This window comes from Homo sapiens, chromosome 3, assembly GCF_000001405.40.
Source record: "Homo sapiens chromosome 3, GRCh38.p14 Primary Assembly".
Lineage (NCBI taxonomy): Eukaryota > Metazoa > Chordata > Mammalia > Primates > Hominidae > Homo > Homo sapiens.
In genome coordinates this window covers 18,461,254-18,479,189 of record NC_000003.12, presented here as the reverse complement: position 1 = coordinate 18,479,189, position 17,936 = coordinate 18,461,254, and the positions used below count along the sequence as shown (strand labels likewise).

The following is a 17,936-nucleotide window of genomic DNA, read 5'->3' as shown; positions in this document are numbered from 1 at the left end:
CCCTGGGCCACACTGGAAAAAGAATTGCCTTGGGCCACACATAAAATACACTAACACTACCGACAGCTGATGAGCTTAAAAAAAATCGCTAAAAAAAACTCATAATGTTTTAAGAAACTTTCCAAATTTGTATTGAGCTGCATTTAAAGCTGTCCTGGGCAACATGCAGCCACAGGGCCGTCGGTTGGACAAGCTTGGTGTAGATAGAACACAATTTAGTACTGAGTGGTTCAGATGCAACAATAACAGAAGTGTAAGGAAAAGAGATGCATCATTGAGATCCCTTCATAGAAAAGTCAAAACTTAGATTGGATCTGGAAGATAGTAAAATAATTTGGATGAAAGGAAAAAGGGATGTTTCCAGTCAGCAATAGCATGATGAGTTGAGTGTGGTATTTAATAAATAGTGAGATTATGCTGAGTACAGCAGACAGTCCTTATTATCCACCAGCTATTGGGTATCTGTGTGTGTATATACGCACACTATATTTGTGTGTGTGTGTGTGTGTATATATATATATATACACACACACACGACCCTATATATTACAGAACCCTAAAACTAAACTTTTACTTTTCCTACTAATTATCTATTTTTTTCATTGTTGAGCTCCAATTATAAAAGGTCCATGTTAGCCAAGTCTATTTCATTTTATTTCCAGCACAATTTTTTTGTAATAGTCCTATCGAAATATTAAGTTGTTAGTTTCAGTTGAGTTACCACATAAGAGTGATGCCATGTGATAAAGGATTTGCTAGACCATATGGAAATTTACTAAAGGGGATGTGGTGAAACCTATATATATATATATATATAGGTGTATATATATAGGTATATGTATATATATAGGTATATGTATATATAGGTATATGTATATATATAGGTATATATATGTATATGTGTGTATATAGGTATATATAGGTATATATAGGTGTATATATAGGTGTATATATAGGTATATATAGGTGTGTATATAGGCATATATAGGTGTATATATAGGTGTATATATAGATATATATAGGTATATATAGGTGTATATATAGGTATATATAGGTGTATATATAGGTATATATAGGTATATATAAATAGGTATATATATGTGTATATATATACCTGTATATATAGGTGTATATATATGTATATATATATACACACACAAATATAGTGTGCGTATATACACACACACATACATATATGTGTGTGACCATAAAGTAGATAAAATGTAAATATTGCTTCTCCATCTCTCTTCTATTCTTGTAGAATTGCTTTTAGAAAAATATTGAACCTTCACCTTCTACCCTTCATGAATCAAATTTTCTTCCAAAATTTTCTTCTCTGTACTTCTTTGATCTTTATTCTGGATGATTTCCTCAGATCTGTTTTCTAGTATCTAATTCTTGCTCTTCATTGTGTCTAATCTCGTGTGTAACACTTCCATTGAGGTTTTAATATCAACGGCTTACACGGATTATTTCTAAAATTCCATGTTTTCCAAAATCTTCATTTTCTAGTTTCATAGTCATTTTTTTCTTAAACAAATTAAACATACTTATTTCAAACTATATTTTAGATTTTTTAAATTATCTTTAGTTTTTAGAGTGTTAATTTTCTGGGTTCATTGCTGATGAGGATTTGTTTCTTTGCTTTATAATTTTTGATAGTAAACTGACATTCAGTAGCTTTTTACCTGAGAGACTCTCTTGCTCAGGCTTATGAAAACATCCCTGCAAAGTGGTTTTGCATTTGTCCCTGCCAAGCCCATAGAAGTGTTACCCATTTCATAACCATTTCTACGTTCATTTATTAGCTTCTGTGCCATATAGATAGTATGAATTTGGATCCCACAACTACAAAGAGTGCAGGTTTGAGTTTGATAATTTATGAGTGATTATTTTCCCAATTGTGGCCCCTAGCATAAGGCGCACATCTTTGACACCTCCCCGGCCAATGATCGGTCTTTCCTACACCCTGTGTTTTTGAGGATGCAGGGTCCAGTTCTAGCTCCTTACCTTATCCATGCCTGAAGCTTTCTTTCCTGTCCCAGCAATGGCATTACAACTTCAGTCCTGCCCTCAGGTCCAGGGTTTCTAATGTCTACAGACCATCGCTTTCTGTGCTGGCACCTGGGAATTTTCCCTGTTTGAGTTTACCTATACATTTTAAAAACAATATTTTATCTAGGATTTCTGTACTTGGAGGGCAAAAGGAGACTTGCCATTCACTTCCATCTGAGAAATTATCCAGAAGACCCAGTGGCTTTTGTTTTCAAGGTGACAAGATAAACACATGTGAGGACAAAGGGGGTGAAGATTTTAAATGTGGACAGGAAGAAGGCAAAGATTTTAAAAAGGCAGAAAAATAAGATCCTATCAGAGAAACAGAGGACTGAGAGGTCTCTGTAGGTAGATGTTTTGTATGTTTAACTTTTTATTTTGAAATAATTGTACATTTACAGATTTGTAAAGATAGCACTGAGCTCCCATATACCCATCACTCAGGTTCTTCTAATGTTAGCATCTTACATGACCGGGGTACAATGATCAAAAGTAAGAAATTAACATTGGTACAATATCATTACCTGAATTACAGACTTTATTCAGATTTTGCCAGTTTTCCACTAATGCCTTTTTTCTGTTCCTGGGTCCAATCCAGAATTCCACATTGTATTTAATTCTTCATCACCTTAGTCTCCTCCAATCTGAGACAATTCCTCGTTTATCATTGTCTTTCATGACACTCTTGAGAAATATCTGTCAGGTATTTTGTAAAATACTCCTCAATTTGCATTTTTTTTTTTTTGCAGTAATAGCTATTTATTTATTTATTTATTTTTAGAGGTTTACTTTGTATTTCAAATATTGGGTCTCCTAGTCTGAGTAATTCTTTTTTTTTCTATACTTTTAAGTTTTAGGGTACATGTGCACAATGTGCAGGTTAGTTACATATGTGTACATGTGCCATGTTGGTGTGCTGCACCCATTAACTCGCCATTTAACATTAGATATATCTCCTAATGCTTTCTCATGATCAAATTGAGGCTATGTATTCACAGGAAAGATACCACAGAGGTGAGGTGCTCTTCTCAGTGCATCATATTCACAGTACCTGTTGTCAGTATGTCTTATTACTGGTGATGTTGACCTTGATCATTTGGCTAATGTGGTGTTTACCATGCTTTTTAATTATTGTAAAGGTTTTTTGTTTGTTTTTGTGTTTTTTGTTGCTGTTGTTGTTGTTGTTTTTTGAGACAGAGTCTTGCTCCGTTGCCCAGGCTGGAGTGCAGTGGCACAATCTTGGCTCACTGCAGCCTCTGCCTCCTGGGTTCAAGCAATTCTCCCACCTCAGCCTCCTGAGTAGCTGGGATTACAGGCACCTGCCACCACGCCCAGCTAATTTTTTGTATTTGGAGTAGAGACGGGGTTTCACCATGTTGGCCAAGCTGGTCTTGAACTCCTGACCTGGTGATCCGCCCGCCTCAGCCTCCCAAAGTGCTAGGATTACAGGTGTAAGCCACCGCACCTGGCCCCAAATAGCCATTTTCTCTCAAAACATTGTCCATTAATTTATGCATGCATAGGCAGATCCTCCCTGCAGCAACGTTTCACCAGTGTTCTAGTGTTCTCACAACGATTTTCTATTTCCTCCTTTCCTTTTGCATCTATTATTTGGAATTATTCTGTAAGAAGTTGTCCTTTCTCTACCATTTACTTTTATTCAATCATTTATTTATATCAGTATGGACTAAATTGTGTTTATTTTATTCTGCTTCATAATTCAATATTTTATTTTGTCTGAAATTGGTCTAGCTTTGGCCATTGGTAGCTCTTTTAGGTTGGCTCCTGTGTTCTCTCAATGTGCCCCCCCGCTTTTCTTGAGTACTTACTTTTTGGTACCATGACATCCTCCAGGCTCATCTTCTTTTATCCCTCCCCAGCCCTAGACAAATCACTTTTCCAAGGAGCTCTGTAATTGTATTAAACCATAGTGGTGGATAGTTTGAACCCTCTCCTTTCATTCAGGGAATGAGAACAGAGGCAGAAGAGCAGCTAAGGAACTTCAGTTGAGTCCAACATTCAGAGACTGAGTAGAGAAGAGGTTGGGAGCCAACAAATGAAAAGAGAAGGAACCACGAAAGAAATGGGAGCAAACTTAGAGCATGGTATCAGAGAAGCTGAGAAGACATTCTCAGCTCTAACTTCAGGGTCCCCCATCATTTCCTACCTGATCCCTGCCACCTTAATCTATTCCCTCTAAAGGGAAAACAGGAATCTTCCAGGCAGATATCCTTACTGTCCTGGCCTAACCACATCTCTAACTCTGCTGGAACTGCAGTAAACATAGCCACAACCAGCAAATTCAGCCCTAAGGACTTTAGACCTTCATCTCACAAGCTGAAATGCTTTTCCCTCCTCTCTCATAACCAAGTATCACTTATCTTTCCAAAGCCAGGCAAGTCACAACTTTTCTTGAAGTTTTTCCCAAACTCTCAGCCTACATTTATCCACTGCTTTATAAATATCATGGTTCTTATCTCTTCAGTCATTTTAGTACTTGCATTATATTCTCTAAAAATGTTCTGTTTCATACAATTTATTACCCAACAATACTGTAGTTCCTTTAGGTGAGAGCCTATACTTCATGCTCTCTGGTATGCATAGCAGTTAGTAATATCTAACTAATAATAGACGTTTAGTAAATATATGTCAGCTTAACATTTATATCAACAAATCAATCACTATAGATAGTCATCAAAGAAATAGTTGAAAATTGGGAAGATTCCAGGAGCTATCTTATCTATTCAGGAATGTTAAAAACTACTCCTTACGATACAAAGTTGGAATAGCTATCAAATTCCTTTTGGCCTTGGTCACATTACAAGAAAATGTAACTCTGAGCCACAGCAATTCTTATTTCTCATCAGAAAATAATTCATCAGGATATTTATGGCTTATCTATTAATAAAATAAGTCATTATGGTATTTTACACAACCCTTTCTTGCCTTGTTTTAGAACAACTACCTAATTTTCTATTTTCAAAATCAACTACTTATTATGGAATAACTAATATATAAAGTTATTAAATTTTCAAAGGACAAATGGAAGCATATTAATGGAATTCATTTTTTAAAGGTGAATGATTATTTTCCTTATTAAAAACATAATGCTTGTTAGTTGAAGGGTCAAGAATATACATATGAGAAAAAAATGTATTTCATAATCCAACACCCCAAACCAGAGACTGTTAACATTTCATTATATAACATACTATAAGTATATATATGGGGGGGTGGTGTATGAGATGATTTTATGCAAATTATTTTGTAACTTACCTTTTTCACTTAATATTTAGTATTTTCTCACATTACTAAATATGTTTCTACATTATCTCTTTGTGGTTGTGAATAGAATGTCAGATTGGATGTATCTTCATTTACTAAACTTCCAATATATGCCATGCTGTGATAAACATTCTTATGCTAAATTGGGAACACAACCATAATTATTTCATTAGCGTAAATTTATAAAAGTAAATCTCTCTGTATGAATAGCTTTATACAGCTTAAGGGTTTTCTTGTTTTGTTTTTTAATGACCAGTGCCCACCTGCCCATCAGAAAGGTTGTGCCAATTTACCATCCCAATCATTAGTAGTTAAAGCAACTTTCAGATACTATATCATTTCATATTTCTAAAAAAACCATGCATCTTTCTGAAGAGTCTCCATAAAGATGATGAAGTAATGCTACATTTTCTTTTATCTACTATGGGAGTGCCCTTTTTCCCTTCAACTTTTATAAATTTTTAAGTATTTTGCTTCCTGATATAAAAAATGCAAAACAACACAAATTATTTAGTATGAGTAGCAAAGAAAGCACAAGATCATTGAGCAATATAGTCCAAGAGAACATGGCTGCAGCTAAGGAACAGTAATGAAATTGATTAGTCAAGCTGCTATTTATAAATCTCTTGTCAAGAAAAATTATTTTTAAGTAAGTTTTTCTGCTTTCTTTGGTATTATTAGTGTATTTGCATGAAAGATAATATTTTGCACTTTTATTTGAGATTTACCATTTTTTTTATAAAAGAGAATCAGGCTTAGCCAACACTTGCATGTGCACAAACACATCATGGAAAGATAATTGACACATTTAAAGTAAGAAATAATGATGTTTCCCAGTAGAAATGTGATCATTAGTTATTTATTTATATTTATATTCATTTATACACTCACCTTTACACAAAAAATTTTAGACTGCAAATTTATATTTTAAATAACAGAATAACAAAATAATTGGCTAAACTTATTATTTTAAACAAACCAATAATTCCAAGACAAAGGGAAATACAAATATGTCAGTATGATAGCTCTGCTTGAATTTAAAATTTGATTCCATGAATTGTCTGCTCCTATTTGAGCCACAGGTCTTCGTTGCTAAGAAACATATCAAACTTACTTAATAAAAAACATTAAAATGACAATTTAATAATTTTCAATTATTAATACTTATTGCAAGAGAAAAATGTACACAAGTACTTAAAAGAAACAAATCGTTAATATATAAACTTTTCTATTTCTCTAGATAAAAGTCAGAGGAGCAGTGTTGGACTAAGATTACTTTTGAACAACTTTTGAAACATTTGATCAGGCTGCAGTTTAAAAAACTAGCCCACTTTCCCCTTCAAAGATCTGAAAGGCAGAGGATAAAATCAACATTTTCCTTTCTACTCACCCAGCATCAATCATGGGTGACAATCTCTACAAGATTGCTTTAAGTTGAACAATCTTTTAAACTAATATTGTATTCTTAAAGAGAGATGAAGTTGGTATCTAAGAAAAAAAAGAAACACTTTATTGATCCCCAAAGAGGAGTTAAGAAAGCCAAAGATCGCATAAGCAGTCTGTTTGGCAGTGGCAACAGCACAAGGAAAAGCTATTACTAACATGACAGGGCCCACCAGGATGCAGAGATCTGCACATACAATCCCATTTTGCTGTTTGCAATATTACTTATATTTCCTACAAATTGGACAATATACATTTGGTAAGCTAAACAAAGTTACTTCTAAAACAAAGAAATACTGGGCAAAAGAACTGGTAAGTGATTAGCAAAGCCAGGTCTACTTCCATCAAGCACATACAATATTTATAAGTCATGTACTGTGTGAGATTGCTAGAGTGGCTACAGGACCGCTGAGCAAGACTCATGCTTCTCGAAAAATGCCTCCCAGTTTAAATGCTAAGAGAGTGGCTCTGTAAATGCATGTTACACTTTGGAAGCTCCCAATATTGTGGAGTAAAAACATAACACATCTGCATGCAAAATGCTTTATTCTCTCATTGTAATTTTCCAAATTTTAAAATGTATTTTTTTATTGGTATGAGTTGTCTCTATGATATGAGCAAATTACCTGTTTTTCTAGCTTATATTTTTGGAAGAGTGTTTTTTTGGTAGATTAAGAGTATGAATTGAAAAAATGAAATATTATTTTCCAGGAACCATAGTCATTACAAACTTTTAGAGGAAGAAAAATATTCATGTAAATTGGTACTGTGCAACTCAGTAATTCTGAGAGCTTTAGTTCCTTCTTAGTAGAGAAGGAATTTTGTCTGTATGTGAAACGATATGACTAAATACAGTGAGTTACTGAGAACTTAAAATTAAACTCCAAAGGCAGCTTCACTTATGTCCAGTGAATGCCTAAGTAGTCCATCTTTTACTGCATCTCATTGTGTGCAATAATGTCATATTTTGGTTATTATGTTTCTTCTTTCTTTGTTTTTGTTTCTGGTCTTATAGAAGTGTGGTATATCTCCTATGTCTTTTAAATCTCTGACCAGTAAGCACTTTCCTTTTCTGACTGTATAGAGGAGAGAGGAAACACTTTAGAAAGGACCCCAGACTCTTGCTTCTCAGAGACCAGCAGCATGGCATCATCTAGGAACTTTTTATAAAATCAGATTAACGGGCCCCTCCCCAAACATACTGAATCTCAACCTACTTTAAACAAGATCCCCAAGAGATGCAAACACAAAACCAAAGTTTAAGAAGCATTGTCTTGAAGCACCTTTACTCCTCTCAGTTCTGGTATTTCCCCACCCCCAACTCCAACTATTCTTCCATTTAGAAAGAGAGACAACTATGTGAACAATGGCCCATTTGCAAATAGACATGAAATAAAGATAATTATATTAATCTACTCTCTGTTTATGACCTCCTTCATCATCTAGAAACATCCACCCTCAGGGTGGGCAGGATTTGAACTATTACAGAAAGACTATAAAGAAAAAGAGAAAGTTAATGCTCAACATATAGCATCCTAAGTGGAATGTTTTATGCTGTGAAAAGATAAAAGATTTTAAAATCCAAGTTTATTAAGAGGAATAATGTTTCTATCATCCCTTCCTTTCCCCCTTTTATTATATCACAAAGCAAGTGAATGTAGGACACAGGGTTTTTCATAGACTAGAGAAGATATCCATTCTATCTGTTATGTCGGCCATGTTTTTTTCTTATATTAGTTTTATTTTGAAATAATTTTATGTTTACAGAAAAGTTGTATAGATAGTAGAGTTCCTGTATACCTTTCACCCAGCTTTGCCTAATGTTTCTATTTTCTATAACCATGCCATCAAGTTAGAGATTAAAAACTTAACATTAGTACTACACTTAGACTGTATTCTCATATCCCAGCTTTTCTACTGTCCTTTTCTTTTCAGCCCAACTTATGAAACCATATTAAATTTAGTGCATTAATGTCCTCCAAGTTGTGATTGTTTCTTCTTCTCTCCTCGCCTTTCAGGACCTTAACTGTTCTGAAGAGAACTGGTTAGGTATTTTATAGACTGTCCCCATTTTGAGTTTGTTTAATGTTTTTTCATGATTAGACTATCCTTATAGCTTTGGCGGGAGAAAACAAGAGAGATGATGTTAGGTCATGAATGTTTATCCTTGATGTATAAGAATAAACTCCGGAGGCAATAAAAAGCTTCTACTTCTGGACCCCAGAGATGGCAGGGAGAGAAAAGAGGCAGAAATAGGGCAAGTAAATAAGATGATCTTAGGGTTTTAGTTTTTATTCTCCTCTGCACACACACCTTTTTGGGGCAGACCGTTATGGGAAGGGCAGCTTAGTAACAGCTAGATATGTATAGGGTTATCACAGGTCATTGGGTTAGTGGCTCACTTTCCCAGATGCAGGCTCTGGGTGGTTGCATGCTGGTAAATGTTTAACAACTGGCTGGGGGGTGGGGAGGTAAGGGAGGGTGGAATGCTGATTTGTAATATTTGCCAATTTCCAAGATATAAATACTCCTATCATGGCTGATTTCAAGCTACCAAAGTGATGTCACTGAATGCAGAGTTGTGAAGAGCTGTGTGGCAGTACACCATTAAATATCATTATGTAGTATTTCCACCATACACATACAATAAGCATAGATAGTACTAAAGTGTAAAACAATAAATAGGAAGTGATGAGTTGAGGGCATTATCTTTATTTTTAATATATTTGATTATAAGTTTATATTGTTTAATTTTCAACAATGGCTGTGTTTAAAAACTGGCTCACAAAATTCCTGAAAATTTAAGAATCAGCTAAGGTATAAGCTGCCTCCAACATTCCACTGCTTCTAGAAGACTGACCATTTGGCTCAGCACCACATTCCATGTGACTCAGGAGGTACAGAGGTGACAGCAGAAAGTGGGTAGATATATCGGACTTAGAAAGCATCTGTCTCATCATGGCCTTTGTGTGGGAAGCAGGATCCACCAGGCTTCTTACTTCCCCACTGAGAGTGTTGGTGGACTGGCAGAGGTCTAGGGGAAAAGAGGCCATGGGGCCTTTTTGATGCTTGGGGAAATGTTCAGAACTACGGCAGTAGCAGTAAGGGCAAGCACACAACATCTCAAAAGATCAGTTGGGTTCTAGTTATATTTCAGTGGTCCCAATTCCAGGGAGAAGATAAATTGAGCCTCTCTATAGTAGAAACTATTGATTATTTAGAGGGTAGTGCATGATCCAAGGGTGTCACAAGATTATAATAAGACCCCACTCATGTACCCAGATCTATGTTGGGAATGAGATGGAAGAGGGAGGTAGAGAATCTAAGAAAGACTGTGCATTTTCCTATAAGAGACCGTGTCATCTATAACAATGTCACTCGAAGTGTGGTCCAAGGGCCAGCGCAAGTCCACAAACTGTTCCTGTTCGGGGGTGAGATAAATACAGATGAAAGTTCATGTTTAGAAACTTCTATCATAAATTGACATTGCCATGACATCCTAGTATGTGATCAGTGGGCTGATCTTGTTAAACAGGATATAACCTGTTCAGGTGTGTGGAACTGGCATGGTGAGTTGCTTGCAGCAAAAGCTGAATACTGGTCATGTGAAATAGGACTATGTATTTGGTACATGATTGGAAAAATCAATCAGTTTGAGGAGCATTAATCTAAGATACTTTTTAAATAATCACTTTTGGATATGAAATAAACTCTGAATAGTTTGAATCAGAGGTTCTTAAAGTGTGGCCTGTGGACCAAAATGTCGGCATCACCTGGGAACTCAGAAATGCAAATTCTAGGGCTCCACCTCAGATGTGCTGAATCAGAAACCTTGAGGGCAGACCCAGTAACCTGTGTTTTAACAAGCCCTCCAGGTGACTGATGCATGTTTGCATGTTTGATTTTTAGAACTACTGGCTTCAATGTTGAAAGAGAAAGAAATATGTTCAAGCTAGAGGAGAATGAAACACTATTAATTAAGTGTCAATTATCCCTGCTAGACTGCAGAGCTGAAGCCCATGAAGATCAGACCAGGTAGAAAAAAGAAAGAAAACTATTCTTTGCACACTGTATTTGAATGATATGCAAGTGGATGAGGCCAAGATCTGGAGTTGAACACTTTTAGTGGATGATCATTTTGGATTTTTCTCTACAAGCTTACCGCTACAAGCTTACCACTTGTGGCTCCACATTTCTTTCTTTCCTTTTTTTTTTTTTTTTTTTTTGAGATGGAGTTTCACTCTTGTTGCCCAAGCTGGAGTGCAATGGTGTGATCTCGGCTCACCACAACCTCCGCCTCCTGGGTTCAAGCGATTCTCCTGCCTCAGCCTCCCGAGCAGCTGGGATTACAGGCATCCACCACCAGACTAATTTTGTATTTTTAGTAGAGACAGGGTTTCTCCCTGTTGGTCAGGCTGGTCTTGAACTCCTGACCTCAGGTTATCTGCCCTCCTCGGCCTCCCAAAGTACTAGGATTACAGGTGTGAGCCACCACACTTGGCAGGCTCCACATTTCTAAGCATAACCCATTTCCCAGCCCACATCAGCCTAGAAGTGGTAAAAATAGGGTCACAGTACTGGCAACATTAATTTCTCTAGCTTTATTCTTACCATACAATTGCTGGCTTGCTGGCTTTTCTCACTTTCCCTACAAATACTACTACTATTAATAGTTCAGGGGGTCCCCTCTTGGCTAATTTGTGTCAGCCTCTTTCTCCCTCTCTGCCTGGGTTGCTCTCCATCCCTAGGTTGCGTCCTTCCCAGGCAAGGTTGATCTGGTTTTAGCTTAGTATCTGATCAACCTGGATATTAGCCATATTACAGCCCAGAGGAAATTATTTCTGCCACTTGTGCTCCATTATTTACTGTGGGATGCCACAAGATCTTTTGAGACAAACTCTAATGTGCATACAAATCACTCAGAGCTCTTGTTAATATGCAGATTCTGATTCAGTAGGTCTAGGATGCCTGAGTATCTGCATTTCTAACAAGCTCCCAGGTGAAGCCTATGCTGCTAGTTTCTGGACAATATTTTGAGAAGCGGAGGTTGACAGCAGTGATTTTTTCTATTTTTATTATGCCTTCTCCCCAGGTCTTGAACACAGGTGAAAGGGCAGAGTCTTAAGGTGACTAATTGTCCCGCTTTGACAAGGATTGTCCTGGAAATCCTATGATGTGGGCTATCCCTCACTCTTGGGCAAACCAGGATGACTGGTCATCCTAGCCATCTGGATTGGTCATTCTAGCAATCTGAACAGCTCACCTCCTGCCTCTCCCCTCCATCTCCTTCCCAACTGACCCATGATATCTCTGTCTTGACTCTTTCCCCTTTAGGATAAATGTTTCCCTGCGGCTCTTCATTTTTCCTCCATGTAGTGTGCTCTCCTTTGGCAAATTTGTATCCACCAGCCCTAAAGACACAGGTGTGTTTGTAGCCAGTGCAGTTGGCTTAGTCCTTGGCATAGGCTTAGCTGCCCACTTTAAACCAATTTGGAAGGTTCCATTTAATGTTTCCCCACAGTTGGTCAGGACTAAAGGCTTACTTACTCCTCTCTCTGCAGAAAGGTTGGGGCCGTATTTGACAGTCCGCTCTCATTTACTTTTTTCACATAAACATTCTCATCCTGCCTGGGCTCTGCAGACCAAGTGGGTTTCCCCAGTGCCTGGGAGCAATGCTTGCTCTGCTTTGCCTCTTAGGTAAGTATGGGGATATTATTCGGAAATAGGTAAAAACAAAATCTTCATTTCTGGAGCTTGGCAAATACGGTGTGTTTTCCAGTACTTCTAATTGTCCTTTTAATGCTGAAGTCATAGATATTGTAGGTACAACCTTCTGCCTCATCATCCTAGAAATACGGCTGTGATTATGTCCACCCACAGTTGAAAATCTTCATTAGCACCGAACTTACAGAAAAATAATTTCCAAACTCCCCACCTTAATACAAAGTCATGGTTCTCAAAACTTTGCTATGCATCAGAATGACTTAGAGAGAAACAGATTGCTGGGTCCCACCCTGAGTTTCAAATTCATAATTCTTTTTGCATTTCTAACAAGTTAACAGGTGGTATTGACACTGCTGGTCAACAGATCACATTGTGAGAACCACAGACCCATTCCAGCTAGCCACATTCACATCCCTAACATCCAGTTCTAGTGCATGCTTCCAAATAGAATCCCTTATTCTCTGCTCATATTATGTGCTTTCCTACTCCATACCTTTGTTTAATTCATGTATTCACTTATAAATTCATTCATTCAACCAATAACTAATTATTTCACCAAACATTTTTTAAATACCAAAACGACTGGCTCTGTTAAGTGCCATCATGAAATTTATGGTAAAGGGAGAAAAGGAAAAAAAGATACCCTTTTCATTTTCAGAGTGTTTCTTGGTTTCCAAAGAGCTTCCACATCTAAGCTCCCATTTGATCTTCTCCAGAGTCCTGAAAGACCAACAGGGCAGGGATTATTCTACATCTCTCACAAGTGAAGAAGTTGAAGGCTACAGGGGAGAAGTGGTTCATCCAAGGTAATGCCAACCTGTCCTTCCAATCCTGGGACAATGGTTTTTCTCTCAATTATACTACAGTTGTCCCTCCCCTCGGCATGCGCAGGGGATTGGTTCCAGGACACCCCACAGAATACCAAAATCCTGGTATACTCAAGTGGACCCTGCTGAATCCGCATAGAAGAAAAGTCAGTCCTCCCTATACATGGGTTTTGCATCCAGCAAATACCATATTTTTGATCCACTTTTGGATGACAAGAATCCACTATAAGTGGACCCATACAGTTCAGACTTGTGTTGTTCAAGGGTCAACTGTGCTTCAGTCATGACTCATTGTATTTCCTCTCTTCTTGCTTTCCAAACTATACCCATTCTTTAAAGCCCAAACACTACCTATTCCATGAAACCTTCCCTGGTAACCCCAGTTAAAATGATTTTTCCTGCTTAAAACCAGGACAGTGCTTTATTTTGTCTCTCTAATGGCATTAAAAAAAAATCTCCCTTTCTAGATGCCAATGTCCTTGAGAACAGAACAATACCTGACTCTCCTTTGTGTCTCCCATAGCACTCAGTTCTTAGTTCATAGTAGAAATTTGATAAAGCACTGAGAAATGAAGGATGAAGAGATGAGAATTTTGCTGTTTTTAGGTTTACTCATAAGGTAATCAATGAAGGATATATGTAAAAATAAAAGTAGAGCTGTCTGTTATCTTTTTTCTTTCTACCTCCATAAATAGGGGTGGGAAGGACTAGCATTAATTGCTTGCTGGGTGCCAGGTGTTTTATGTTATGACATTTTTGCTCTCATAACCTAATAGACAAATAATAGATAAATACAATTGTTCTCACTTTCAAGCAGAGGTAGTGAAGCTCAGAATTGTTTAGAAATTTGCCCAAGTTCAGACACTGAACTCATGTTAGAGAGGGAACCAAATCTATTCCATTTAAACTCATGTGGCAAAATGAACACATGAAATTGCTTCTAATTATACTATGACAATAAGAAATTATCCAGTATTTTCCTATATAAAAAAGCAATTCATATGCACCAGTAATCTTGAGGTCATCTTTTAGTAACATTTTTTCCTCACCATTTTACCACTTTTCATTGATTCACCACTTGCTGTTTGAATCCTTTGATCCACTTTTTCAAGAAGGAAAATGAATTTCACTACTACCAGACTCTGGTTCTTCATGTGACCGGTTATTTCTGGTTGTGAAATGCTGTCCTGAGACTTAGAAGGTAAATCTGTCTTAATAAGTACTATTGTGTCATAACAGAACTTTCCTGTTAGAAGAGAGTGTGGAAGGTTTGGGGTAAATCCTGGAATGGGTCAGGGGAGGCATAAATCCAGAAATGCCTTCATGAATAAGCCTGAGAGGAATAATAACTTCAACAAAAATGAAAAACTCAAACATTAAAGCAATGTGTTAAACATTTACCATATGATAGAGCTGAGAATTATTAGGAAGTTTAACCAAAGGACTTTGCCAATGAATGTCAGATGGACGTAACTGAGGCAATTAAAACACAGTATTAGTGAAATGGTGGACTCACCTACAAGGATTCACATGTGGGTTCTGCAGCTAACTTCTTACAAGAGCAGAGGCCTGCAATATTATGAAAACCAAATAGACACATTAAAGGCAATTGTTCTCACAAATGTATGAAGTGCCAATTTGTATCCCTTCCTCTTACAGGTACTGCAATATCCTCCCTGGTAAAATCCTGTCAGTTCCATTGGTAGGGTTTGTTACAAGGTCTTATATCACTAGCCATTAAGATAGCTAACCATAAGTCTTGGTAACCTAACAGATATATATATTCAATTTTCATAAAACAACTTCAAGTAATGAGGGAATTCAACCAAAAGCTTCCAAATTTTTTTTGGATCTGCCAGGTGAAACAAAAAGTTTTAAAGCACATTTCTAGGTTCTCTGGGGCACTTAATTCCAAAAAAGTCCCTGCATAGCAACTCTTCTATTTTTTAAAAAGAACTTTCTATTGTTATTTAGCCTGTCAGGTAAAAAGTCATACATCAAGAGACAGGTGGAATTGGTGACATTGATAGATATTTTCTCTAATTCAGTATTGATAATGTTAATGTAATATTGCTTTCAATAGACAGTTTCAATCACGCATGTACGTATGTTTAGAGATGTGACACAAGCAGGGAGGCTGAGCTTACTGAAAGGTAAAGAACACATCGGATGTTTGATTTTTGTCACTGCCTCTGGGAAAGAATTCAGAAGCAACCCTTCAGCCAATGGCAGGTAGGTTCCTAGAAACCTCAGTATTGGGGAATTCATAATAAGGATGAATAAAGATCCAAATACAGAAATGAAACTTACTAATAGATGTGCCCATCTGAGGACCAGCTGGAAGGAACTGCCATTTTGCCTGGTCACCTAGGGGCTCTGAAACAATAAGCTTTGGTAGTAAAATAACAATAACAACAAAATAGCTTATGATTGCATATTTTCCAAGTAACAAATAGTGTTCTAAATAATTTAATCCTTACAATCATGTTATTAGGTAGTTACTACAATTATCTTCATTTTACAGGATAAACTTAGAGACTTAGAAACAAAAGGTCAATAACTTGTCCCTGGTCATACATCTAATAAGAGATGACACAGGCAGTCTGAGCCCATGCTCTGATCTAATACATGCTACTACTTTTTAATATTTGTTTTTTAATATAGGCAACACACATTACTAAAAATGTGAGAAAATGAGAAAAGAAACTATTGTGCTACTAACCTGACATAACTGCCATCAACCTTTTGGGATATTTGCTTTCGATCATATTTATATGCATACATCACATCAGAAGTATTTGCCATATTGCTAAAAGGGTTCAGAATGTTCACTTTTTAATACCTGCAAAATGTCACACAGACCAGGTATACTGCACTTATTTAGTCAATGTTAGCTATTTAGGTTGCTTTCAAAAGCCTAAATAAAGCAGGTTAAAGTGCATGTGGAACCAGGCAATCTGGTTCAAATCTTTGCCCCTCTATGCACTAGCTATATAATCTTGAGCAAGTTACTTGACTTCTCAATGTTTCAGTTTTCTCATCTGTACAATGAGGATAGTAATGTTCACTAGCACCATAGATTGTTGTGAGGATTAACCTGCATTAATTGAAATAAAGTATTTAAACATTGTCTGTAGATAGTTATTACTATCATAAGTCTGTAGTGAATATCTTCATACATGAGGCACTGTGGATTTAAAAACTTATTTCCTATGGCACATTCCCAGAGATAAGATTACTGGGTTAAAAGATATAAATTTTTTTGTTCAAATAGTGAATTCACATTATCAAAGTATTTCCAAAAAGTGGTATATAGGTTTACATGTCACCAGTTACATGAGAGAAACCATTTTCCAATACACCTTTTCTGACTTTGTTAGGTATTAACATCAAAATTTCTATTGCTCATAAGTTTGTTCTTCAAGAATTTCTAATCTGCTCTTATATCCAACTATTGAGTTTTTAATTTCAGTTAATTTTTCAGTTCTGGAATTTCCATTTGATTCTTTATCACAGTTAATAGTAGTCTGTTGAAATTTTCTATCTACTCATATAATTTTTAAAAGATAGCATAGATATTTTAAAATTTGTTACTCCTATATCTGGATCTCCTCTAGCTCTGTTTTCAGTCATTTTATCTTGTCTTCTGGTATGCCTGGTAATTTTATTGAATGCCAGACATTGTGTATGAAAAATTGTAGAGATAATTTAGACCTCTGGAAGATCATCTCTTCTTTAAGTGATGTTTTACTTTAGTTTCTGACAGGCAGTTAGGATCTTTCTTAAATTCTCTGCTCTCAAGCTCTCTCCACTGTGGAGCTCTCCAGTGCTTTTAAACAAACGTTTGGTAGATTTTATTCAACTTTTCTATTTGTTCTACTTGTCCTTATAGGATGAGCTGATCTAAATGTAACAGCTGAAAGTGTAAGTCCTTGACATCAATTTTAAATAGTTGATTAAACCTAAACATAACTCATTTTTTTTTGTTTTAGTGTATATTCATTTGATTGTTATTAAGGCTGGATTTTTATGTGCTTGCAAATGTGTTATATTTCATATTTTATGAAATGTGATTTCATTCTTATCTCATATATTGATTAAGTATGAGTTTGTATGAGCTCTTGTGAAATCATATCAACTCTTTGTTATTATGTTCAAATAATTGCAATTGCACATAGGCCACCCTTTGCTTGTTACATTGTTGTTTTAACTAATCAAGTGTTTAATATAATCAAATCTATTTTACTGTTCACTTTGCAATTTTGTTACAATGTTTTAAGCCTATAAAATAAAGTCTCGTTAGACTTCCTAAGGTTTTAGTTTGCATAATGTATTTTATGTACATAATGAGTGTAAAAGCTGATTTTTTTTTTCCATTAGCCCATATATTGCAAAACATTTTCCCTCTCCTTTAATCTGTGGTCCAGCCATTATCAAATATTTCATTTTTATATATAATTTATTTGCCCACATGTTTTGCCTCATTAATATATTTATTTTGGTGCCAGTATAGTTTTAATTATTATAACTTTATTATATATTTTAATATTTGATAAGACTAGTCACTCCTTCTTTCTAAAAATTGAACTTTGCTATTCTTGA

At 36.1% G+C, this 17,936-nt stretch overlaps 1 long non-coding RNA gene across 1 annotated transcript in view; it reads right to left on the bottom strand.

Moving 5' to 3' along the window:
• The window catches only part of SATB1-AS1 (SATB1 antisense RNA 1), an 84,878-nt gene that overhangs the window by 50,925 nt on the left and 16,017 nt on the right, over nucleotides 1-17,936 (bottom strand). Inside the window, exons 2-4 of the long non-coding RNA NR_125803.1 lie at nucleotides 15,645-15,710; nucleotides 14,851-14,903; nucleotides 13,151-13,227 (exon numbers count right to left, since the gene is read on the bottom strand). This is a non-coding gene — a long non-coding RNA (SATB1 antisense RNA 1). The remainder of the gene's footprint in view (nucleotides 1-13,150; nucleotides 13,228-14,850; nucleotides 14,904-15,644; nucleotides 15,711-17,936) is intronic.